Source organism: Homo sapiens, chromosome 15, assembly GCF_000001405.40.
Source record: "Homo sapiens chromosome 15, GRCh38.p14 Primary Assembly".
Lineage (NCBI taxonomy): Eukaryota > Metazoa > Chordata > Mammalia > Primates > Hominidae > Homo > Homo sapiens.
The window spans coordinates 67016730-67042010 of NC_000015.10; the positions used below are offsets into that span (position 1 = coordinate 67016730).

The window sequence follows — 25281 nt, forward strand, 5'->3', positions numbered from 1 at the left end:
TCTGAGCTGTTTCCTGTGTGCCAGTAGGGGCTCTTCATTGGAAAAATCTGAAATGCTTTGGACTAGATAATGGCAAAGACATTCCAGTTCAGAAACCAGAAAGCTTGGACCTGAACTCACTTCTGACACTGACAATCGCCTCCCTTTGTTCAGCCACATTTTCACTATGCATGCAACAGCCAGGCCAATTGGGAGGTCTGCACCAATCAGAAAAGATGCAGCTGCACTTTGGGAGGACAAGGTGGGCGGATCACCTGAGGTCAGGAGTTCGAGACCAGCCTGGCCAACATAGTGAAACCCTGTCTCTACTAAAAATACAAAAAATTAGCCAGCCATGGTGGTGGGCGCCTGTAAACCCAGCTACTCGGGAGGCTGAGGCAGGAGAATCGCTTGAACCCAGGAGGCGGAGGTTGCAGTGAGCTGAGATCCTGCCATTGTACTTCAGCCTGGGCAACAGTGTGAGACTCCATCTCAAATAATAATAATGATAATAATAAATACAAAAATTAGCCGGGCATGGTGGTGTGCACCTGTAATCCCAGCTACTTGGGAGGCTGAGGCAGGAGAATTGCTTGAACCCCGGAGGCAGAAGCTGCGGTGAGCCAAGACTGTGCCATTGCACTCCAGCCTGGGCAACAATAGCAAAACTCCATCTCCAAAAAAAAGAAAAAAGAAAAGATGCAGCTGGGAGAAGAGGTGCACAGATGGTGGGCGTGGAAGCAGAGGAAGTGGAATCAACCACTGGAGGAAGCAGGCTTTGGCAGTTTTGTGGGGAAATGTCTCGGGGCTTCCCCAATCTTCCAGTTCCTCTGATGGTCAAAATGATAGGAATTTGAAAGTGAGAGCTGGCTGGGCGTGGTGGCTCATGCCTATAATCCCAGCACTTTGTGAGGCCAAGGTGGGAGGATTGGTTGAGCACAAGAGTTCAAGACCCCCCTGGGAAACACAGAAGGACCTTGTCTCTATAGAAAATAAAAATAAATTTAAAAATTAGCCAGGCATGATTGTGCATGCTTGTAATCCCAGCACTTTGGGAGGCTGAGGCAGGAGGATCACTTGAGCCCAGGAATTCGAGGCTGCACTGAGCTAAGATCACACCATTGCACTCCAGTCTGGGTGACAGAGTGAGGCCCTGTCTAAAAAAAAAAACAAAAAAAAAAAAGAAAGAAGAAAAGAAAAAGATAAAAGAAAGTCAGAGCCCACCTTTCTCTCAAGCTCCAGCCCTCTCTTCTCTCCTTCACAGCCAAGCTTCTTGAAGGTGATGTGTATCCTTCTCCACTTGCTGTACTCTGGCTTCTGTCCCCCAGCACCCACTTAAACTTGATCTCCATAATGTCCTGAGCACCCACCTCCTTGCTGCTAATGACAGTGAGTCCTCTTCAGTCCTCATCTCACTGGCCCTCTGGCAGACTCTCTGGCTTAACAGTTACTGCCTGCCCTTGGATTTCCTCCTTACTCTCCAGCTGCTCCTTCTCAGCCACACAGAAGCTTCTCCTTCCCCTGGCAGCTCTTCCTTCTGCACATCCTCACCTGCTCTCCCAGATCAACCTGTCTCTTTACAGTGATGGTCCCCAGTGTCCATCCCAGGCCTAGAGCTCTGCTGGACCTTCCAGCCTGGCCACCTGACTTTCCCCTGGACATCCCACAGTCCTTTCAAACTCAGCAAGGATCAAGGGGCGTCAAGGCCTTCCCCTGGACCCCATCCTTCTTCCATCTGTGTTCCCAGGCACTGAAACCAACTGCAGAGCTACCCATGGTGCCTCCCTCCCCTTTGCCCTCCTCTCGTTTTGTCTATAGATTAATTGGTTAGCTTCAGTCTCATTCTGTGAATTGCACCTCTTAGCATTCTTAATTTTCATGTTTCAGCTGTTCTTGACCACATTTGGGCTCCCTCCAGCTGCTCCAAATCCCGCAGCTGCCACTTAGCAATGCTCGTTCTCTTTCCTGCAGTGCCTGCCTCGGTCAGGCCTAGGTGCATCTCTAGGTGCTGATTTCAAGACAGCTGAGTTCCCTTTAGCCGGGCACGGTGGCTCACGCCTGTAATCCTAACACTTTGGGAGGCCGAGGCGGGCGGATTGCCTGACCTCAGGAGTTCAAGACCAGCCTGGGTAACATGGTGAAACCCTGTCTCTACTAAAAATACAAAAAATTAGCCAGGTGTGGTGGCACGAGCCTGTAATCCCAGCTACACGGGAGGCTGAGGCAGGAGAATAGCTTGAACCTGGGAGGTGGAAGTTGCAGCGAGCTGAGATCATGCCACTGCACTCTAGCCTGGGCGACAGAGTAAGACTCTGTCTCAAAAAAAAAAAAAAAAAGACAGCTGACACAGGGTCCCTGAGCCCATGAGACGGGCACAACAGCACACAGAGCAAGGCAGGAACAAGGCAAGCCCCTGACAGATCTCATGAATAAAAACCAGGAACCAGCCCAGGACTCAGGACTAGACATAGCAAAGAAATCTCGCTCCTCATCCAAGCTCTCCCACTGCAATAGATTTTGGTCACCTGCCCATGAATGTCCTGTGTGGTCAGCCGGTCAATAAACCTATCTCCACCTCTCCTCTGTAACACATAAGCAAGAATTGGATTTAAGGAACTGGCCGGCAAGCTGAGCTGGGATGAATTTGTTTGCCCAGGCCAGATTGATTCTAGATGACTGATACATAGGATTTTTAAATCTAAAGGCCAAGGACCCTAATGAAGATCTCCTTGGGAGAGCTGGTATGAGCAGCACTCTCGAGTCTCCCTTCCAGATGTCTTGAAAATATCCTGTCTGAGGCCATCAAGTCCAGCTCTGCTTGGCAGGGCTTAGCGGTGAACAACCATGGTGGTTCTCAACAGTGGTTCTCCACAGGGGCATATTTGGCAACTTCTGAAGACACCTATGGCTGTCACATCTTGAGTCAGGGAGAGGTGCCACTGGCATCTAGTGGGTAGAGGCCAGGACTGCTGCTAAACATCCTACAATGCACAGGAGAGTCCTCAACAAAGGATGACCTGTCCCAACAGGTGATCAGCGCCAAGGTTAAGAAACCCTACTATGAAGTCAGACAGCTTGGCTTCATACCCCAGATCCACCTGGAGCAACTCACCTACTTTCCACTGGCTTTGGTTTTCTCCACTTTTAAAGGGCTGGATATTTATATCTACCCATAGGGTTGTTGTAAAGAAAAAAATGAGATAACTTGTGAAAGGTACTTGGAAACATTCTTGTTATACAATAAAGCACTCAAGAAAGTATCCTTTTTGCTGCTAACTGCAGCACAGCGAAGACACGGATCTTCACTGCCAATGCATTCAGATATACATGAAGATTTCCATCTTGTCATCACATTTGGCAGAATCAGGAAGTCCCCATCTCACTGTGGAGGCTTCACTTCACTCTAGATTGAGCTGTGCCTCTGAGACCCACAGGGACAAGGCACACAAGCCTCCACCTGGATGGAGTTAGCAGCTCCCCTCCTCGCTCCCTGGGCTTGCTTCCTTGTCAGTCTCTGCAGACTCTGACCCAGACTCAACCCCAGACTCCATGGCTGGGCTCTTCCCCACCAGCAGCTGAGTCCCAAGCTGCTCCAACTCAGCTGTTCTTGACCACGTTTGGGCTCCCTGACCACCCTCTGGCTGGTGCTGTGGCCTCAGCTCACCCCATTATTGATGCTGACCGCCTGAGTGGCCTCAGCTGGCTTCCCATCCAGCTAGGGCACTAACAAACACTGGAGAGTGGTACATTTCTGTTTTTCTAGCTTTTAGTTATACCTGATCTGTACTTGGAATTCTTTTTTTTTTATTATTATACTTTAAGTTCTAGGGTACATGTGCACAACGTGCAGGTTTGTTACATATGTATACATGTGCCATGTTGCTGTGCTGCACCCATTAACTCGTCATTTAACATTAGGTATATCTCCTAATGCTGTCCCTCCCCCCTCCCCCCACCCCACAACAGGTCCCAGTGTGTGATGTTCCCCTTCCTGTGTCCATGTGTTCTCATTGTTCAATTCCCACCTATGAGTGAGAACATGCGGTGTTTGGTGTTTTGTCCTTGCAATAGTTTGCTGAGAATGATGGTTTCCAGCTTCATCCATGTCCCTACAAAGGACATGAACTCATCATTTTTTATGGCTGCATAGTATTCCATGGTGTATATGTGCCACATTTCCTTAATCCAGTCTATCATTGTTGGACATTTGGGTTGGTTCCAAGTCTTTGCTATTGTGAATAGTGCTGCAATAAACATACGTGTACATGTGTCTTTATAGCAGCATGATTTATAATCCTTTGGGTATGTATATACCCAGTAATGGGATGGCTGGGTCAAATGGTATTTCTAGTTCTAGATCCTTGAAGAATCGCCACACTGACTTCCACAATGGTTGAACTAATTTACAGTCCACTTGGAATTCTTTAAAACACTCAACAAAAGAAAAAAAGATAACAGTAGTGGAAAGTTTGTAAGAAGGAAAAAAGAGGTGAAAAGCATTTTAAAACATTTTTGAATTACAAATATACCTACCTTACTTTTCACATGTACTGTATATAAAAAAGCATTGTGGCTAAGTGTATTGGTTTCCAAAACACACCCCGCCCGCTGCCAAACATGCTTTAATTATTTAGGTAGTAGAGTTGGGAGGGGAGGCAGAGGGAGAGAGAAGGAGAATATTAAAAATCCTAGAATTTGTATAAAAGGAGAACCAACACTTTCATGGGTTAAGTAATGAAAAAAAAAATAGCTAACCTTTTATTTTAAGGAAAAGTCAGTCTCCCAAAGGCAGAGATTGAAATGCACTATCACTTAGGGAACAATCAGCTTGACCAAGCCTCCCCAGCAACTCCCTCCTAGGACTCTTGCAGTCTGAGGGGTCAGGCTGCATTCTCCTAGTGGCAGCACAGCAGGCTCTGAAGTGCCTGACAGTGAAGTTGAAGGAGCAGAGTGAGGCAAATTCCTGCTCCAAACCTGCTCTTCCATTCTACAGACAGACAGGAAGAGGAGTGACACAGCTTGCCAACTCAGCCAGTCATAAAAGATTGATCCATTTCTTCCAAACTGATGGTTCCTCCCTTTAGGAAACTGGGCACTTGAAGAAGCTTCTCCCATCCCAGTTGATTCTTCTGTGCCCATTTTGTCAGTAGCAAGCCATTAGCATGATGTTCAAGGAACAATCATCTACCACATGATGTACTGACGCTCTGTTTGATCAAACTGGGGCTTAAGAATAGCTGTGAAGGGCCAGGTGCGGTGGCTCATGCCTGTAATCCCAGCACTTTGGGAGGCCGAGGTGGGTGGATCACCTGAGGTCAGGAGTTCGAGTCCCAGCCTGGCCAACATGGTGAAACCCTGTCTGTACAAAAATTAGCCAGGCCTGGTGGCAGGCGCCTGTAATCCCAGCTACTTGGGAGGCTAAGGCAGGAGAACCACTTGAACGTGGGAGGCAAAGGTTGCATGCAGTGAGCCGAGATCGCGCCACTGCACTGCAGCCTGGGCGACAGAGAGAGACTCCATCTCTAAATAAATAAATAAATAAAATAAAAAGAATAGCTGTGAGATGGAAGAGGTTGCAAGTTTCCCTGGGAGCTTGTGGCACACAGAAGACCCCAGGACCTTGGCCTTAATGGGGTTAGGTTGCTGGGACGGGGGCTGGCTACTTCCACTCTAGAATAATAGTACTGAAGACCCCTTTGTTCATTTACTACTTCATTCATTCAGAGAATATTTATTGAGCATCTACTATGTGTTTCCAGGCACTATTCTAGGCACTGGAGTTACAGTAGAGAACAAAACAGAAAAAGTCCTGCCCTCATGGAGCTAATATTTTAGTGGAGTGAGACAGATAATAAATAAAGTAAGTAAGATATATACTCTGTGAGGGTGTTAAGAGCCATAGAGAAAAATTAAGTAGTGGAGGGGGCAGGGTGTGTGGGGAAGAGGTGTTGCCATTTCAGAGAGTTCTTGGAAAGCCTCACTCAAAGCTGATGTTTCAGTGAAGACCTGGGAGGTGAGAGGTGCTGTACTGACACCTGGGAAAAGAGTGCCCAAGGCAAAGCAAACAGTCAGTGCAAAGGCCCTGAGGTGGGCATGATGCTGGTGTATTTGGAAGACCAGGGATGACATCAGATCAGAGGAGAAGTGGGGGTAGAGGTAGATCATGCAGGACTTCACAGGCTGCTGCAAGCCCTTTGGGTTTTTCTCCAACTGAAATGGAAAGTCACTGGAGGGTTTTATGTGGAAGAGTGACACCAAATGTTTTATGAATCACTGTTAGCTCATTTCTCAATTATATTATTACCACCATTTTAAAGGCAGGGAAACTGAGGTTCAGAAGGGTTAGGAGAGTTTCCCATAGGCACACAGCATGAGCTGCCAGAACTTCTCTCCTTTACTTATTTATTTATTTTGAGATGGAGCCTCGCTCTGCAGAGTGCAGTGGCGTGATCTCGGCTTACTGCAACCTCCGCTTCCCGGGTTCAAGCGATTCTCCTGCCTCAGCCTTCTGAGTAGCTGGGACTACAGGCGTGCGCCACCACGCCTGGCTAATATTTGCATTTTTAGTAGAGACGGGGTTTCACCATGTTGGCCAGGATAGTCTCGATCTCTTGATCTCATGATCCGCCCGCCTCGGACTCCGAAAGTGCTGGGATTACAGGGGTGAGCCACCACGCCTGGCCAACTCCTCTCCCTTCTAATCCAGGACTCTCGGTGCTCCTGCATGTGGTTTCCAAATGTTCTCAACTCTTCTCCTGCTTGCGAAGGGGAGACCAGAGCCTTGGAGCTGGGAAAGGAGCAGGCAGGGCTGACTCTTCTCGAACCTGGATTGCTGGGCACCTGTTGTCCAGCATCATTTGAGGGCATGTATGGAAAGTGCTCTGGAAATTTATCAAGTATGGCACACATGGTGAGTGTTATGAGAGACTATCAAGATGCTCTCAATGATTCCTGCTGAACTCAGGTCCCGAGTGCCCAACAGGCCTCCATTTGAGCAATGGGTTGGCCATTGCTTGTAGCTGCTATTCATCTAGGAAGGTCCCAGCACCGGCCCCTGTTTCCACCTCCCGCAGCCCTCACATGTGGATCCACTGGTTTCACCTACAGCTCCAACCTTGGCCTGGTTCACTGATCGATCAGCCTGAGGCTAGAAGCACTTACACAGCTGGAGAGCAAGTCACTCTTTCTACTGGCACCCAGCACTATGCCTGCAGCACACACGTTGTCACACACCTGTCATCCCCTTGGGCACTGGGCCTTTCCCTCCTGTGTAGCCCTCAGCTGGGTCAGCCTGGCTCCTCCTGTGGGGGCGGGGGGCTGGCCCCAGAGCTGCCCTGGCTAAGGCCACAGGGTCATACTGGAAGTGAAGAGACCAGCCTCAACAAATCCAGGAAACAGACCCAGGTAGGAGTGTGAAGGGCATGGCTGTAGTGTGGGGTGTGGAAGCCCAATTCTGGGCTTCCCAGAATTTCCCAGCAGGCTTGGGGGAGGGGTGGTGGCAGCTGGCCCAGTGGAAGGGAACCTCCATCCACCCTAGAAAGATTGTCCCACTTTCCTTATGGGTCAGCACCTCACAATGTCATCACCAGAAGGGCTTTCTTCCCCACGTGGATTACATAGCAGGTAGATGGATTTGTGCTTGCAGACACAGAGGGGCCAGAGTTTTAAAGGCCGTCAGTACCCTATGGCCCATCTCAAAGAAAAAGACAAGGATAAGCAAAATTAGAAGGAAAGAAAGAAAGACTGTAAAAGTTAAACAAAACCACCCACAAATAGCTTGAGGCAGAAAAAAGATTGTACCATATCATGGCAATCGTGGACAGTTTGGCAGCTGAGGGAAAGATGACTCATTCCCAGGCTCCGCTTGCATAATCCTCCCCAGCCCAGGCAGGAGAATGAAACTAGGAAAGTAATGCAATGACATTTAGTAGCAAAAAGGAAGCCCACACAACATTTGTGCAAGGCCATCCAAAAATAGCAGGCTCCTCCATGCTTGGGTTTTGAAACTATGCATTTTGCTTGAAATGCCTGAGTCGTGGCACATTTTTCTTGGGCCACCCACACCCTAATTCAGTTCATTTCAATTTAGCAGACATTTAATGCAGGCCTACTGTGCTCCAGGCTCTGTGCTAAGGATTTGGGAGTGGCAAATACAAGGATAGGGGAGACACTAAAAGGAAAGTGTGAAGGGAAGAATGAATGGAGTCAAACCCCACCACGAACCCTTACCAGGTCTGAACCTCAGTTTTTCTGTCTATAAAGTGGGAACAATGCCCACCTCATGAAATTGGGTGAGAGTTAAATGAGAAGAGCAAAGCCACAGGGGCTCATGAAAGGAGTCCTCAAATCTGCTCAGGGTGATCAGGAGGGCCAGCATGGAAGAAGAGGTCTTTGAAATGAGCCTTGACTCGTTTTAACTGAACCGAACTGCCAGACTGAATAGTGGCAAGTATTTCTTCTGTGCCTGCTGGGTGTCAGGCCTGGTGCCAGGTCCTGAGAATGTAAGGACAAAGGAGAGAAACCCATCATCAAGCAGTAATAATCCTAACAGTAGAAACAGTAAAAATAACACAGGGAAGCAGCTAGGCATAACGGTTGTGGGTGCTAGTTCTGAAAACAGACTCTCTGTGTACAAATCCTAGTTCTTTTACTCTCAGCTGTGTGGCTTGAGCAAGTTCTTTAACCACTCATTCTATGCTCCTGTTTCCTTTTCTATAAAATTAGTATACAAATAGCAATTCCTTATAGGATTGCTGTAAAAATTAATTGGAACAGTGCTTGCAAAGCACTTACCCTAGTGCCTGGTAAGTGGTCTGTCAGGGTAAGCTGCCACTATTTTCATTGCTACCATCACCATTATCTTCATCACCATTATCACCATCACACATCACAGAAGAGAGGGAGGTACAGAGTCCTCCAAGCAGAGGAGAACTTGGAGAGTCTGGGAATGCCAGAGGAAGGAATGGTTATTCTTGAAGTGAGTTTTGAAAGACAAGGAGAAGTTTGCCAGTAGGATTCTGGAAGAAAGAGGTATTCCAGGCCGGGGGACAATATGAGAAAAAAGCATGAATGTGCAGAAGATAAATGTTCAGGAAACAGGAAATGGCTCAGGCCGACAGCCAGGCTGAAAGGATGGCCTGACCAGGGAGAGAGAGGGCAAGCGGGAAGGGAGTGAAAGTCCTTCCTTTCCTGGCCTTTTGCACACACCCTCCTGGCACATGCCAGGCAGTTAGGAAGCCCTGGGCCTGGACATGAGCACTAGCTCTCTCACAGAGCCCCTTTCTGACCTTGGCTTCCTTCCAGGAGACGTTAAGACACAGCCTTACTGAGAATGCAGCCACGGTTACTATCACATTTATTGAGAAAACTATCCCTTATGTTACTCAGAGCTCTTTGCATACAGATGCTCAAGATAAATTCAACTTAGAATTCAGCCAGGAAAAAACATTGATAAAAATAATTTATAACTTTCATTCAGAGTTTACAACATGCCAGTCTCTAAGTGCTTTACATTATTAGCTCATTTAATTCTCACAACAACCCTATGAAGTAGGCACTATGATTGTTCCTGTTTTACAAATAGAGGAACTGAATGATAAAGAGGTTAACTCATTTGCCAAAGCAACATAGCTAGTAACTGGCAGAGCAAGGGCTCACGTTCTGGGAGTCAGGCTTTAGAGCATGTATTTTTTTTTTTTTTTTGAGACAGGGTCTTACTCTGTTGCCCAGGCTGGAGTGTAGTGGCACAATCTCAGCTCACTGTAATCTCCACCTCTCGGGTTCAAACAATCCTCCCCCTCAGCCTCCCCAGTAGCTGGGACTACAGGCACACGTCACCACGCCCAGCTAATTTTTGTATATTTTGGTAGAGGTGGTGTTTCCCCATGTTGGCAAGGCTGGTCTTGAACTCCTGACCTCAGGTGATCTGCCCACCTCAGCCTCCCAAAGTGTTGGGATTAATGTGTGATCCACCGCGCCTGGCCAACATGTGCTCTTTCTTAACTCCTTTGTAATAAACAGAACTCTTGTCCTTTCTGTGTTTCCCTTTTTGTTTTGGCCACTGTCAGGGTTGACACTTCCCACTACATTCTTCCTTGCAATTTGTGCTCCAGCTGCTCTGGGCGCCTCACTTTTTCCAGAATTCCTTTGCATTATCGTACCTCTATGCCTTTGCTCATGCCAGTCCTCCTACCTGATATGACTTGCCCTTTTTTTTTTCTTTTTTTAAACTTAATGACATGGAAAATTTATCATTTTGTAAGTGGAAGAAGTAAGTTACAAAACTGCATATATACAAATACAGGCTGGGCACAGTGGCTCACGTCTGTAATCCCAGCAGTTTGGGAGGCCGAGGCAGGCAGATTGCTTGCGGCCAGGAGTTCGAGACCAGCCTGGCCAACACGGCGAAACCCTGTCTCTACTAAAAATATAAAAATTAGCTGGGCATGATGGTAGGCACCTGTAATCCCAGCTACTCGAGAGACTAAGGCAGGAAAATTGCTTGAACCTGGGAGGCAGAGGTTGCAGTGAGCAGAGATCACGCCATTGCACTCCAGCCTGGGCCACAGAGTGAGACTATGTCTCAAAAAAAACAAACAAACATAAATAAATAAATAAACTTCCATTGTTGGTAAATAATATTTGAAGTGAATATATGAAAAAACCTCTGAAGATTTAAGCACCAAAATAACATTGTTTAGATCTGAATGGCAGAATAACAAATTATTTTATTTATTTTTTTCTTGGTGATTTCTATTTCTTGAATGTTCACAGAAAATACATATCATTAAATTGTTACTTTTAAGAAAAATGTAAGTTAATTTTTTTTTCATTAAACAATTTTTTTAAAAATGACTTATTACCCAACCAGGCGCAGGAGCACTTTGGGAGGCTGAGGCGGGCAGATCACGAGGTCAGGAGATTGAGACCATCCTGGCTAACATGGTGAAACCCTGTATCTACTACAAATATGAAAATTAGCCGGGCATGGTGGTGGGTGCCTGTAGTCCCAGTCACTCAGGAGGCTGAGGCAGGAGAATGGTGTGAACCCGGGAGGTGGAGCTTGCAGTGAGCTGAGATTGCACCACTGCACTCCAGCCTGGGCGACAGAGCGAAACTCCATCTCAAAATAAATAAATAAATAAATAAATAATGACTTTTACCATTTTGACCCTTTTTAAGTATGCAGTTTTATGACATTAACTACATGTGCATTGTTATGCAACCATCTAGGATGACGTTCTAACCTCATTTCAAGCTTAGCCGCATTCACTATCTTTCCAGGACTAGGGTAGTTTTCACCTTCTGTTTAAAACTTTCTCTGTCTCCTCCCACACCCCCAGCAGAAATGATGGCTCATCTCTCTCCACTCTCCTGTTTTGGGGAGTGTGTCATTATGTGTCACTCATATCATTCTGCAATAGTGGTCAAGTGAGCAGCCCCTAGAGCCTTCATTTCCTGTATTTGATACCTACCATTTGTGTCCTAGCATAGCTGGGGCAAGTCACTTAATCTATCCGTGCCTCAGTTTCTTCAACTTTAAAAATAGACATTTTCAGAATGGCTATTACTACAACATCAAAAAATAGCAGATGCTGGCAAGATTGCAGAGAAAAGTGAACTCTTATGCACTGAAAGTGGGAATGTAAATTAGTTTAGCTGCTTTCAGTGGAAAGCAGTCTGGAGATTTCTCAAATAACTAAAAATAGAACTACCATTTGACCCAGCAATCCCATTTCTAGGTATATTCCCAAAGGAATATAAATCGTTCTATTATAAAGACACATGCACACATATGTTTATCTCGGCAGTATTCACAACAGCAAAGACATGGAATCAACCTAGAGGCCCATCAGTGGTGGACTGAATAAAGAAAATGTGGTACATACACACCATGGAATACTATGCAGCCATAAAAAAGAATGAAATCATGTCGATTATCCTAAGTGAATTAATGCAGGAACAGTAAACCAAATACCACATATTCTCACTTATAAGTAGGAGCTAAACATTGAGTACACAGGGACACAAAGAAGAGAATGATAGACACCAGGGCCTACTTGAGAGTAAAGGGTGGGAGGAGGGTGAGGACTGAAAAACTACCTATCAGGTACCATGCTGATTACTTGGGTGATAAAATTACACCAAACCCCTATGACATGCAATTTACCTATGTAACAAACCTGCACATATATCCCTTGAACCTAAAAGTTGGAAAGGAAAAAATAGACATTATTAGTTTTATTTCACAGATAAGGACACCAAGGCTTACAAAGGTTAAGTTTGCCCAAGATCCCAAAGAGGGTAAGTAATGAAACACTTTTAAAGCAAGTTATCTGTTCCTAGAATGCACATGTTTAATCTGTGCCCCTCTAAATAATAACAACGCTGCCATTTATTGATCACTTATTATGTGGCAGGCTGTCAGCAAGGTATGTGGTGCAATAACCTATTTAATCCTCATAAGTAGCCCCATAAAAATGGTTATTCGTAGCCTTTCTTTTTTTGTTTTTTTTTTTTTTTTTTTTGAGATGGAGTCTCGCTCTGTCGCCTAGGCTGGAGTGTAGTGGCGCGATCTTGGCTCACTGCAACCTTCTCCTCCCAGGTTCAAGTGATTCTCCTGCCTCAGCCTCCTGAGTAGCTGGGATTACAGGCATCCACCACCATGCCGGGCTAATTTTTTTGTATTTTTAGTAGAGACATAGTTTCACCATCCTGGCCAGGCTGGTCTTGAACTCCTGAACTTGTGATCCACCCGCCTCAGCCTCCCAAAGTGCTGGGATTACAGGCATGAGCCACCGCGCCCTGCCCCGTAGCCCATTTTACAGATGCAGAAACTGAGGCCCAGAGAGGTGAAGTCATTTGCCCTAAATTCCTCAGCAGAATCAGAATTTGGTGACTATAAAGAATGCCTTCTTATTCACTACACTATGCAAAAACGGTTTGATTTCTCAAGTCTGTAACTGAGGACTCAATTGATGACTACAGATCGTTCTTATGACAGAGAAGGGCAAGGCTTTAGAGTTCAAAGACAGGGATTCAGCAAGGACTCAAAAGTATGGAGAAGCCTTCACAGAAGAGGCTGCACTGAGCCCTGCAGACTGGCGGTGGCAGACCCATCCTACCTGGGGCTGGCAGTGAAGGTGGGACTCCTCAGAAGCTGTCAGTTCTCAGTTAAGATTAATGAGACAGAAGTGGGATCTGGGCCAGGGCTATTGCCCAGGAGATACCACTGGAAGCCAAAGCCCCGCTAGAGATGACCAGTGTTAAAGATGAGCTCAATTCGGGAGATGCCCAATTAGAGCAGGGAGAACACTAGAGTTCACAGGTGCACTCAGCAGGTGTCTGAGCAGATGGCTGGGTGTGGGAAGGGGAGAGTGTGGGAAGACTCCAAATGGGCCTCTCATGGGGCCTCCTTTCCACAGTTACAGGCTTCTCTCCTGGAAGCCAAAGCCCTCCCCGCCATGGGTGCCCCTCTGTCAGCCTTAATGACAACTCAGGCCTCCAACAGGGCAAGATAACAGGAAGCATTCCAGGGAGCCAAAGGATAAGACATGCGCAGGGTGTGATGTGGAAGAGTGAAAGGTGGAGATAGAGGGGAGGAGACAGGCAGAGCACAGAAAGTGGGAGGGAAAGGGCACTTTGGAAGCAGCTGTTTATTTACAGTTGAGGCCTTCCTGGGAAATCAAGGTCACCTCTTCCTAAAGCCAGTTCTCCAAGCTCTGCTTGTCAAAGCTTTGCTAGTTGTGTTCAGGCTGTGTGCTTGAAAGTAACATTGCTGCCCTTTGGAGGAAATGCTAGTTAACTCAGGCCTTCTGCAGACAAAGCCTGGCCTTCCCACCTGCTGACCCCTTTCTTTTCTGGTGATCACCTGCTGGGTTCCCCCATTATGTCCACTCTACAATGTGCACGTGATGTGTGTGTGTGTGTGTGTGTGTCTGTGCGTGTGTGTGTTTCCAAAGGAAAGAGGGCTGAGCACGAATAACAGCAATACATCTATCATCCTTTAAGCTTTACCCTGATCCAAGATTGCTCTCAACAAATTCTCACAATGATCCCTCAAAGTAGATCTTTTTATTAACTCTTTTTACAGGTACAGAATCGTGGGTCACACAGCTAAGAACTAGCTGAGCTGGAACTTGAGCCCAGGCCTGCCTGATTCCAAGACAATTAGTCAAAAAGTCCTCTCTGGGGGTGCGCTGAGGTGGGAGCTTCATCTTTTCTGGTTTCATCCTGAAACACTACCACGTGTGGTTTACTTCATCATCCCCTTTGAACCATTAACTCTACCCTCTACCCAGCCCTGGAGATGTACAAAAGCTAAAAAAAATAGACAAAACATGGTAACAGGGTATCAACAGAGACTCTGAGGAGCAGTACTTGGTCCAGATTGAGGGGAGGCTTTTAGGGACTATTTCTTGAAGGATGAAACATCTAAGCTGAAACTTGAAGGGTGAGTAGGAACAGACAGGGATAGTGGAAAGGTATTTAGGCAGAGATGAGAGTCTGTGCGAAGGTCTGGAGGCGTGGAATACCAGGGCTTCTTCAGGAAACTCACTGGTCATTTGGTATGGGCGGATCCCTGGGAGTAGCAGAAATGCAGTTGGTGAAGGTAGCAAGTACGTACCTATCCTCCTAAGGAACTTGGACTTCATCACAAGGAGATGACAGGGAGGCACTGAAGGATTTCAGACAGGAGAACAATGAGTTCAGACCCCTGTTTGAGTTGAGCACTGCTCTTTTTACTTTCAGAAAGGCAGCTGTGACATTGTGGACAGCACCTGGAGCCCTGATGTTTAATTCCAAATTGGACCTTAAGCAAGTCACTTCCTCTCTTGGAACTCAGTTTCCTTATTTGTAAAAACTGAAGAGGTTGACCAGATGGCCACTTGGATCATTTCCAGCTCTTATATTCTAAGACAAAAAACTATGACCTCTCCAGGGGAAACAATGAGGATACCAGATCTCTTTCTGGTTTTTTGATTCCTCTAGAGTATACTATAGAACTGAAGAAGGCAGTTGGATGTAAGAGTTTAGAGTTCAAGACAGAGGTCTAGTGGGAGAGAAGCATTTAGGAGCCCTCGGTATACACAACATTTGAAACCCTAGGTCATCTCACCCAGTCCCAAGGCTTCGAACATCATCTATACCAAGAGATCTCAAATTTCTCTCTCCAATCATACCTCTCTTCCAAACTCCAAATCACACATCCCACTGCCTTCGAGGCACATCCACTTGGATGTCCAATAGGCACCACCAACAAAACATGTCCAAAATGGAACTCCTGATCTTCCCGCTCTACTACCCTAACCTGCGTCACCCTCACCTTTCCCTATGTCAGCTCATGGCAACTCTATCCTTCCAGTTGTTCAGGTAAAAAATGTACACATCAGCCAGGAGCGGTGGCTCATGCCTGTAATCCCAGCACTTTGGGAGGCCGATGGGGGTGGATCACGAGGTCAGGAGATCGAGACTACCCTGGCTAAAACGGTGTAACCCTGTCTCTACTAAAAAATACAAAAAAAATTAGCCGGGCATAGTGGCAGACGCCTGTAGTCCCAGCTACTTGGGAGGCTGAGGCAGGAGAATGGCGTGAACCCAGGTGGCAGAGCTTGCAGTGAGCCGAGATTGTGCCACTGCACTCCAGCCTGGGTGACAGAGCGAGACTCTGTCTCAACAACAACAACAACAACAACAACAACAAAGTACACAATATTCTCAGTTCCTCTATAGCTCTTATACTCCCTATTCAATCCAACCTGAAATATATCCAGAATCTACCTCCATCACTACCACCAGGTTCCAGCCAACATTATTGTTTACCTGGATTAGTGAAACCATCTCCTTATTCCCCTCATGGTCTACCCTTAATGCTGCTTTTTAGAATATCAGCTAGGTCATGTTAGGACTCCCCAATGACTTTCTTTCTCATCAGAACAAAATTCAAAACCCTTACCCTGACCTACACGGCCCCACGAAATATGCACCCTTCACTTCCTCTCTGACCTCATCCCCTACCACTGTCCCCTTCACTCTGCACCCTCCAGTTCTTTGAACTCCTGCCTCAGGGCCTTTGCACTTGCTGTTCCCTCTGCCTGGAAAGCTCTCACTTGGAGCACTACAGCTCCATCACTTGCTTTGGGTCTCTGCCCAATGTCAGCTTGTGAGAGAGGCCTTCCCTGATTACTCTCACTAAAATAGCACGCCTCTGCCACACTTTGTCCCTTCACTCTGCTACAGTCTTCATTTTAACACTTATCACCATCTAATGAAGATATTTATGTATTGTCTGCCTCCCCACCTACAATGGAAGTTCCGTCACCACCTGGACCTTTTGTTCACTGCTTTGTCTGCGATGCCAAGAAAGCTGTCTGGTAAGTTCTCAGTAGGCTTTTCATACGAATATGAATAAAACAACGTGACAAGGTCACATGTCTAGAAAGCATAGGGCAGAGATTTGAATCCAGACACAACCTGCTTGAGGGCTTCAAGCCCAACCACTGTGCGGTTCTTCCTGTTGATGACGGGGCGGGCTGGGGAAATCTGAGGTCCCTCAGCAATTCAGTCCTATACTTAGGGGAAGAGCCGCGGGGCTGGGGGGTGGGTAGGTAAGGACAAGAACACAGTGTGGCTTTTCCCAGCCCTTCCTCTACTCGCTGCGGGGTGTGCTTGGTTTTAACAGCACTGGCCATGGGGTCGTGTGGGCGCAGGGGCAGTCTTCAGGGAAGACAGGATGGGGGTACATACGGAGGGACACTTCTGTCCCCTCAGGGCAGCAGAAAGCACGGACTCTCCGAAGGAGAAAGGCCAGGTGGGAAGGAGGCGCCAGACCTTCGCCGAATTACCTCCCCGGAGAAAATCCACGCGGGGACCTTGGGCAGCAGAACCCTAATGAAGGGACCCTGGCAGGAGGCAGGACCACAGAAATTCAGAAGAAAGAGCGAGACGGCACGGTGGGGCCTCCCGGGACGTTCTTCGCGAAGGACGCGCACATTGCAGGGCGCAAGCGTGCCCGGGACGCTGCTGGAGGCGCCGTCGCTCCGCGGCGGAGGCGACCCAGTTTCCCAGCTCTCGTCCTCGCCACTTCCTCTGCATGGGCTTCCAGGAGACTCGGCCTCCGTCGGCGACGCTGGCCCACGCGCCCACCGTCCCCCGCCGCGGCCGCGCTCTCCCCTTGCACGCGCGCCGCCCGCCCACCCCGTGCGCCGCCGCTCACCCACCCACCTGTGCACACCCTGGCTGGTCGTGGAACGCATCTCCCAGGAGTCCCCAGCAGACTCCAAGACTCTGGGGTCTCGCTCTTGGCTGCAGCGTCAAGACTGGCTGCACAGATGGCCTTGCTGCACATGAAAAAAAGCCATCGGCAGGCTGGGGACCCTGAGCCCTCTGATCTCTTGGCGAAACGGGATTCTCTGTCCACGAGAATCTAAAGGGCCTGGTTTCTTTGCCCTCTACCTCCTCCTCCGTGCATGTGGAGCTGGGGAAAGGCTGAAGTCTGGAAGTTGGGTCACCCGGCTTCCTGTCTCACTGCTGTCTCTCGCTTGCTGTAAGACCTTAGACCAGTGACTCCCGGCTCAGATTCCCTAACTTTAAAGCCAGCAGTGTAGATAAGATGGTCTCTCCCGTTCCTCCAGGACAGGGATTGGGTCCTATTTTTTCTCATGATCCCCGTATTGAAAAGTGGGAGAGTACATTCGGTTTAAGAATGATTGTTCCTATTGTAATGTATTCCTGTTGGGATGTGTGTGTGTGTGTGTGTGTGTGTGTGTGTGTGTGTGTGTGTGTGTGTTATTTGAACCAGATGTTTTCATCCCATGTGCAAAGTCCTAAATGGCCCCCATTGTCCTGCAGCTGGGGACACAGAGCAGAGATTTCACACACATGCCAAATTCATCTTAAGGTTCAGTTAAACCCCGAGCTCAAGGGACCAAACCACAACCCACCTGGCCAAAGTTTTCTGTTTCCCGAAAACTCCCCTGCACCTTTGAAGAGGGATGATGTCCCAGAGTTGTGGCTCTGTCCCAACCCCCTCCTGAGAACAGATGAGCCTCAAGGTGGAAGCCTGGGGGAGTGGAGAGCAAGCTGTGTGGGAATCAGGGTGAACCTAAAGTGAGGCCCCAGTTGGAAAGACCGGGTCTGCTCAGTGGCAGGTACTCAGGAGGGGACAGGTTTTTAGAGCTTCAGATGGAAGCCATCTAGAAAATTATACCTTACAACTGCAGCCATACCTGGCACTTTTGTAAGCACCTCTCCAGTGCCAGCATCGTCCAAAATAAGGGTGTAATGTTGAGGTCATTACTGTGGGCAAAAGGGGGCTCACCTCAGCTGGAACCTCCTGAGAAGCGTACAGAAGTCCTCCCTGACAAGTATGAAACTGGGGTTCAGAGAATTTAAATCGCCTGCCCAAGGTCACACCGCTGGGGAGTAAGGCATTGGCCAGCAGGGATTAGAACCTTCTGTTGTCAGAGCTCGTGATTTTCCCATAATACTACAGACCAGGGTCTAGTTAGGCTCTGACTCGTGGGGGACTTTGGGCCCATCACCTGACCTCCCTCTGGAGGTGGCTCAGTTTCTCACCTGGGCGGGGGATGATGAAGGACCTAGGGAGAGAAATCACAGAAACAGGGGAGGTGCTCACAGCATAGCAGAGCATGAGCAGGGCACAGGGTTGGGGCTGTCATCCTAGGCATGGGGTGTGGGTGGGGGTGTCATCCTGGGCATGGGGTGGGGGTGGGGTGTCCTCCTGGGTGTGGGGTGGGGAGGGGTATCATCCCAAGCACCGGATTGTGGTGGGGTGTCATCCTAGGCATGGGGTGTGGGTGGGGGTGTCATCCTGGGCATGGGGTGGGGGTGAGTGTCATCATGGGCATGGGGTGGGGATGGGGGTGTCATCATGGCACGGGGTGGGGGTGGGGTGTCCTCCTGGGTGTGAGGTGGTGAGGGGTATCATCCTGGGCACAGGGTGGTGGTGGGGTGTCATCCTGGGCATGGGGTGGGGGTGGGGCTGTCATCCTGGGCACCGAATGGGGTGGAGGTGTCATCCTGGCCACGGGGTGGGGGTGGGGCTGTTATCCTGGGCACAGGGTGGGGGTGGGGGTGCCATCTTGGGCATGGGATGGGGTGGAGGTGTCATCCTGGGCTTGGAGTGGGGGTTTCATCCTGGGCACAGGGTGGGAGTGGAGGTGTCACCCTGGGCAGCGAGTAGGGGTGTGGGTGGGGGTGTCATCCTGCTGTGTACGGGCACCAAGGAAGAATGAGGAGCCATGTATGAAGGGAGACTCTGGGAAGCCAGGCTGCCCACCTCACTTCCCTTCTCCTCGCCCTCCCCCAGCCACAGTCTCCCCAGGCTGGGAGACCTCAAGTCTGATTGCACCAACACCTGGTTTGCATTAAGAAGTTCCTGACTGCTGAAGGAAGCCTCCCATAGAGACTTACTCTTCCCGATTACATAGGGCTTTACAACTTACCAAGTATTTCCAATCATTTTTAATTTTTATCTTCCCACACCTCTTTGAGGTGAGCAGAGAAGGCGTTGTTATTATCCCAATTTTACAGCTCCATGGAAGGGAACTTGCAGACCCCAGCCCAGCCCCCTCCCTTTATAGACACATTAATGTGGCCCAGAGAGGAGAGGCTACTTGTCCAAGGCCACACAGGTAATGCATGGCAGAGTCAGGACAAGAAATGAACTCTCTTGGCTGACAGGCCGATGTTCTTGCTAATGCACTCACCCAGGACGTCCAGACTCCCGGGATTTCCCTGGGAAGTTGCTTAGGCTGGGCGCAGTGGCTCATGCCTGTAATCCCAGCACTTTGGGAGGCCAAGACAAGTGGATTGCTTGAGGCCAGGAATTCGAGACCAGCCTGGCCAATATGGTGAAACCTTGTCTCTACTAAAAATATAAAAATTAGCCGGGCGCGCCTGTAATCCCAGCTACTCAGGTGGCTGAGGCAGGAGAAGTGCTTGAACCTGGGAGGTGGAGGTTGCAGTGAGCCGAGACTGTGCCACTACATTCCAGCCTGGGCAACAGAGCAAGACTATTTCAAAAAAAAAAAAAAAAATCCCCTCGACTGGGCATGGTGGCTCATGTCTGTAATCCCAACACTTGGAGAGACCGAGTCGGGAGGATCACTTGAGCCTAGGAGTCAAGAGCAGTCTGGGCAACATAGGAAGCCCCCATCTCTAAAAGAAAAATAAACAAATTTAAGCTGGGCATGGTGGTGCATGCCTGTGGTCCCAGCTACTTGGCAGGGCTGAGGTGGGAGGATCGCTTGAGCCCAGGAGGTTGAGGTTGCAATGAGCTAAGATCACGCCATAGCACTCCAGCCTGGGCAACAGAGCAAGACACTGTCTCAAAAACAAAACAAAACAAAACAAAAAACAAGTCCCCTTAACAGCATTTTCCCCAATGTCTGCCTTTTCTTCATGAAAGTTGGGTGAAGATTAGGGAAGAAAAAAGATTGTGTCTTGACTTTGGCCCTGCCTTCCTGTTCTGGGTTAGGTGAGGGGAGGGGGCTGGTGAAGGGTGAGTGAAGGGTGTGGTGGCAGCCAGCCGGGGTTCCCATGGTGCCCTGCAGCCACACAGTCAGTGGTGGCTAACCCCTACCCTTCTCCTTTTCCATCCTATTTTCCAACCCTGGCCTGTGGTTATTGATGACCACACCGCTCCTCTGTGGCCTACAAGAACCCTCTTCAGCAAGGATTCACTTAATCACAACCAGAGGGCAGAAAAAGTGGACTCGGGCATTTTTTTAATAACCAGCAGCTACAAAGAGGACTGAAACAAATTGAGTTTTATTAAAAGAATCCTCCATTAGACAGAAAATGTTATTACCTTGCATCCTCTCCTCCCTGAGCTTTCTGCTTAATAGAGTATTGATTGAAACATACATTTCCAAAGTCTGGTCTCAGAGGAGTGGAAGGGGAAAAACCCAAATAATTCAGAAATGAAGAGACCTCTTGCAGAAATGCAAGAGACCTAGCTGAAGTATTATTCTCTGATAGATTTTGGAGGGATGCTGGAAAGAAAAACAATTAATTAAGCAAGTAACAGGCTGAGGTCTGGCCTGAAGCAAAAGTTTTGTGGCTGAGCTATAAAAAGGTTAAGTGTCTAAGGGAAAACCCAGAAGCATTCTAACCAGCTGCTCAAATGGGTGCTGCTATAATTCCATAGTTTGCACCTGACCTGGGCAACAGCTGGCTCTTGGCTCCCAGCAGGGAGAGTGTGTCCCTACTGATTGATCCAATTGAGAAATTCCTCTTCCACTTTGTACTTTGAAATCCAATAACTTACCTCCTTTCTTCCTCCCCCAACCCCAAAGACAGAAAATTAGCCAGTTGGGTGAATGGACTTCATAAGTGATTCATCATATCAATATCATATCAGGGATGCTAAAGACTGCCCTTTGAGGGTAAGTAGGCAACCATCTTGAGCTCAATTTTCCTCCCCCAATATGATCCTGAACATCCAATGGCTCCCTGCTACCTTTAGGATAAAGCCTAGGCTTCTTTGCATGCATCTCAAGTCCTCCAAACTGAAACTCACATTATCTTTCCAACTTAATCTAACAATTCTACATCATATGCCATCTGCCCCAGCCAAGCTACTAAGTCTTTCTTACCTATTCATTCGGATTCTTCCCAAAAAATGTGAGGGCCAGAGAAAAAAGATAATCTCAATGAAATCTTCCCTTTCCTTCCCCAGGATAGACTACAGACTTTCTGACCTTCCTCTCCCATTGCTTCCAGGATATGCCCCACCCTCCCCAGCCTGACTTCCCAAGCTTTTTTCAGCTTTGCTTCCCTGCCCTGCCTTCAGCATGGATGCTCTGGGTCCTGTTTTTGACCTTACACAATTACAAGTGTGACCAATTTAGTCCATTATCTGCATGTATTGTATTTGTCCAACCACACAGTAAAAATACCGAACTTCTGAATGACGGAACAAATGAATTTGCAATTAGCCCTTCACAAATACTTCATGGCAAGGCAAGGATAGAATGATTTGCTCAAGGGATCTTCAGTCTAGGGATTTGCTCAAGGGAACTTCATACACAGAGAGGTGAACTATGATAATAATCCATTAGTAGCCTAAAGGTTAGTTCATTTAAGTGACCAGTTTAGTTAGGGGTTGTTGGCACATCAAAGCAATGTTTATTAAACCTGGCAAAGTGTCACTTTGTGCTTGGGTACCTCAAACTTTTCTAGAGCTAGATGATAACATCTGCTTTCTTTTCAAGAGAAAAATAGTTTCCTTTCCCTGAGCATACAACATCTTTGTTTCCTCTGTTAACTAAGATGTCAGGCTGCCTTGAGTTATTTAAAGAGACAGAAAATGCCTTTGTTTCTCAGCAATATTCCCCTTGGATTCCTTTCACTGACAGCAAACAGCTACCTTGTTATAAGATGTATTTGCTTGCTTTAAAAAGGATATCACTCTATCTATCTAAACTCCACTTGCTGGTTTCCATCTTTACTTAGGATTTCTCTGGTCCCCTAAAGTCATTTCTGTGTATATTGCACTTCTTCGACATTGATATGGAAAGACCCCAAGCTTCATCTTCCTTTTCCTGAGAAAAAAACCCTCCTCCTCCTTTTTAAGGGCTAATAACTCCATTTTGCAAACATACCATTTCAACCCCAGCAGTTGAAACCAAAGGATGCGGCTGCTTTGCTAAAACCAGATAAATGGGGCGGCTGCCCTGGTTACCGCAGAGACAAAAGCCCACTTTCCAGGAGAATGAGGGCCACATCTGGGAGCCTCAGGCCTCGCCCCTTCCCCCTTGCTGAGGCCCCTTGCTTTCTGCTCAAATAGGAGTGGAGGAAGAATAGTTTCTGCTGCTGACTTGTGACTTTGTGGCGCCTCAGCGGGGGAGCAGAGGGGAGGGAGCACTAATCTAAGACTTGTCTGGTCTAGCGGGAGGGCCCTGGGCTGGGGGCCTGGAGGCCCAGGCTCTCGCCTAAGCCAGCTGTTTGGTGACCTTAAGCAAATCATCTTCTCCTCTCTGGGCCTCAGTTTCCCCAGCCATATAATGAGGGACATTTATGAATTATTTTGGTTTCAGTTTCCCCAGAAGCTTGAGTCAAGGATTCAAGTGTGAGTAATAGGTCATTTAGAAGGTGATCCCTAGAAACTCAGGTGAAGGGTGTGGAAGTGAGACAGAGAACGGAAGGAAGCCAGTGTGAGGCATGCTGCTGAGCAGGTTGTCACCACAGGCAACTGGTGTTGGAAACACTCTGGGAGACAGAGTTGGAAAACACACCTCAGAGTTCATCTGCCCAAGGGGTAAGGAAACTGGGGATTTATCCACCAAATGCTCGTCCCTCATTCATAGAGGGCTGTTCGCCAGGGATATCAATTCTTGGGCACTTTGGGCTTTGCCCCACGCTGGCCACAGTGCTCATGGGTATTAGATGTGAGCGACCTGAATTCAGTGTGGAGGTGAGTGCTGAGGAGATGGGTCAGGGCACCGACAGCATCCGCTCTAATAATTGACCTTTACAGCCCTGAAAAGCTGTGAATTTGCACTTGGGCAAAGTAAGCAAACCTAGGGCTTTGGTATGATAGGCAGGGCAAAAGAACTGTATTCTGTGCAATCAATGACAGTCCCCTACTTCCTTCCCCATGGTTCTAGACCTCTAGGCTGTTCCCAGGGAGAACAGAACAGAAATAAAGTTCATCTCTAACTATTTAGAATGGTGAATTTACCCACTGGCCAGAGAAGATGATGAAACTATAGAGACTCCATCCCACCTTCCTTTCCCATTGCTTCCAGGATATGCCCCACCCTCCCCAGCCTGGCTTCCAAAGCATTTCTCAGTCTGATTCCAAGATATCTTTTCTTTTTTTTTTTTTTTTCGTTTTTTGCTTCCCAACACAAACCACCCACCACTGTTAGGTTTTCTCTCTCCTCACTTCTACGTAGGCCATTCCTACAGATACCCCTACAGTATCTTTCATCTTATTGACTGGTCAGAATTCTAAATGTCTTTCAAGGACCAGTGCTATTTCACCTTCTCCAGGAAGTGCTTCATGACCGTTCTCGGGTTAGAAATATCCCTCTTGGCCAAGCACAGCGGCTCACTCCTGTAATCCCAGCATTTTGGGAGGCTGAGATGGGAGGATCACTTGAGTCCAGGAGTTCAAAACCAGCCTGGGCAACATAGTGAGACCCCCATGTCTCTACAAAAAATTTAAAAATCTGCCTAAAAGCAGCCACCAATTAAGAAAGCGTTTATGCTCAACATCTGACTATCTTTAATTCCAACCAGTAGTCCCAGCTACTCAGAAGGCTGAACAGAGAGGATCACTTGAGACCACGGCTGCGGTAAGCCAAGATCATGCCACTGCACTCCAGCATGGGCAACAGAGAGAGATCCTGTCTCAGAAAAAAACAAAAACAAAACAAAAAGAAAGAAAGAAAGAAAGAAAAAGGGAGAAGGAAGGAAGGAAGGAAAAGGGGAGAGAAGGTAGAGAAGGAAGGAAGGAAAAGGGAAGGGAAGGTAGAGAAGGAAGGAAAAGGGAAGGGAAGGTAGAGAAGGAAGGAAAAGGGAAGGGAAGGTAGAGAAGGAAGGAAAAGGGAAGGGAAGGTAGAGAAGGAAGGAAAAGGGAAGGGAAGGTAGAGAAGGAAGGGAAAGAAGGGAAGAAGGAAAGAAGGGAAGAAAGAAAGATCCTTCTTCTCTGAGTATCTATTGCCTCCAGCACGCATCCAGCCTATGCACACTAGACTCTGTCATTTCTCAGAGGCATGCCTGGCCTCCCTCAAATGGGAGACAACTTCTTTATACTACTTGGGTGCCTATCTCCCAGTCCCTAGCAAGTATCCTAGAGACAGGAAATGTTGAAATAAAGAACAGTTTGGCAAGTATTTATTGAGCACCTGAGTATACAGACACTGTACAAGGAGCAATGGGGTAACTCAAAGGTAAGTAAGATCCCACCATGGCCATAAAGAATTTCAGAGTCAAAGTTGTCCTAGGTAATAGAAAGTCAGGATTTGCAAGAATGGCTCTTGGGGATCATCAGCTCTAAGTGCCTCCCTTCATAGATGCGGAATCACAGAAGAAAATGACTCACCTAAGGTCACATAGCTAGTGAGTAGTTCTACATTAATTTGTTGCTAACAGAGGGCCCCAGGCTGTCCTTTTTTTTTTTTTTTTTGATCATTTGTGCAAGTTCAGAAACAATCTTCTTTCTTTTCCTTTGTCTTTTTTTCCACTTTAAAGGAAAATGAAATTTACTGGCTTCTCTTTCTAAAGAGAAGGGGCAAGGAATAAAAATACCAGTTATGTAATAGTCATTTG

General features: G+C 47.7%; 1 long non-coding RNA gene across 1 annotated transcript in view, besides 5 other annotated features; it reads right to left on the bottom strand.

Moving 5' to 3' along the window:
- The window catches only part of SMAD3-DT (SMAD3 divergent transcript), a 79976-nt gene that overhangs the window by 32523 nt on the left and 22172 nt on the right, over nt 1–25281 (bottom strand). The window lies entirely within an intron of this gene.
- Nucleotides 2467–2636: an enhancer, noted in NCBI's record as "experimental_40591 CRE fragment used in MPRA reporter constructs". NCBI's record gives its function as "activates a minimal promoter by MPRAs in K562 erythroleukemia cells, with activity observed for the introgressed 15:67311619 variant allele {active_cell/tissue: K562}" and the evidence as "EXISTENCE:reporter gene assay evidence [ECO:0000049][PMID:34662402]".
- Nucleotides 8942–9236: an enhancer, noted in NCBI's record as "tiled region #4683; HepG2 Activating non-DNase unmatched - State 19:H4K20". NCBI's record gives its function as "activates a minimal TATA promoter and a strong SV40 promoter by Sharpr-MPRA in HepG2 cells {active_cell/tissue: HepG2}" and the evidence as "EXISTENCE:reporter gene assay evidence [ECO:0000049][PMID:27701403]".
- Nucleotides 13446–14102: an enhancer, noted in NCBI's record as "OCT4-NANOG-H3K27ac-H3K4me1 hESC enhancer chr15:67322513-67323169 (GRCh37/hg19 assembly coordinates)". NCBI's record gives its function as "activates a minimal SCP1, AML or CMV promoter by ChIP-STARR-seq in primed H9 embryonic stem cells {active_cell/tissue: H9 hESC(primed)}" and the evidence as "EXISTENCE:reporter gene assay evidence [ECO:0000049][PMID:30033119]".
- Nucleotides 16266–16873: an enhancer, noted in NCBI's record as "H3K27ac-H3K4me1 hESC enhancer chr15:67325333-67325940 (GRCh37/hg19 assembly coordinates)". NCBI's record gives its function as "activates a minimal SCP1, AML or CMV promoter by ChIP-STARR-seq in naive H9 embryonic stem cells {active_cell/tissue: H9 hESC(naive)}" and the evidence as "EXISTENCE:reporter gene assay evidence [ECO:0000049][PMID:30033119]".
- Nucleotides 16874–17481: an enhancer, noted in NCBI's record as "H3K27ac-H3K4me1 hESC enhancer chr15:67325941-67326548 (GRCh37/hg19 assembly coordinates)". NCBI's record gives its function as "activates a minimal SCP1, AML or CMV promoter by ChIP-STARR-seq in naive H9 embryonic stem cells {active_cell/tissue: H9 hESC(naive)}" and the evidence as "EXISTENCE:reporter gene assay evidence [ECO:0000049][PMID:30033119]".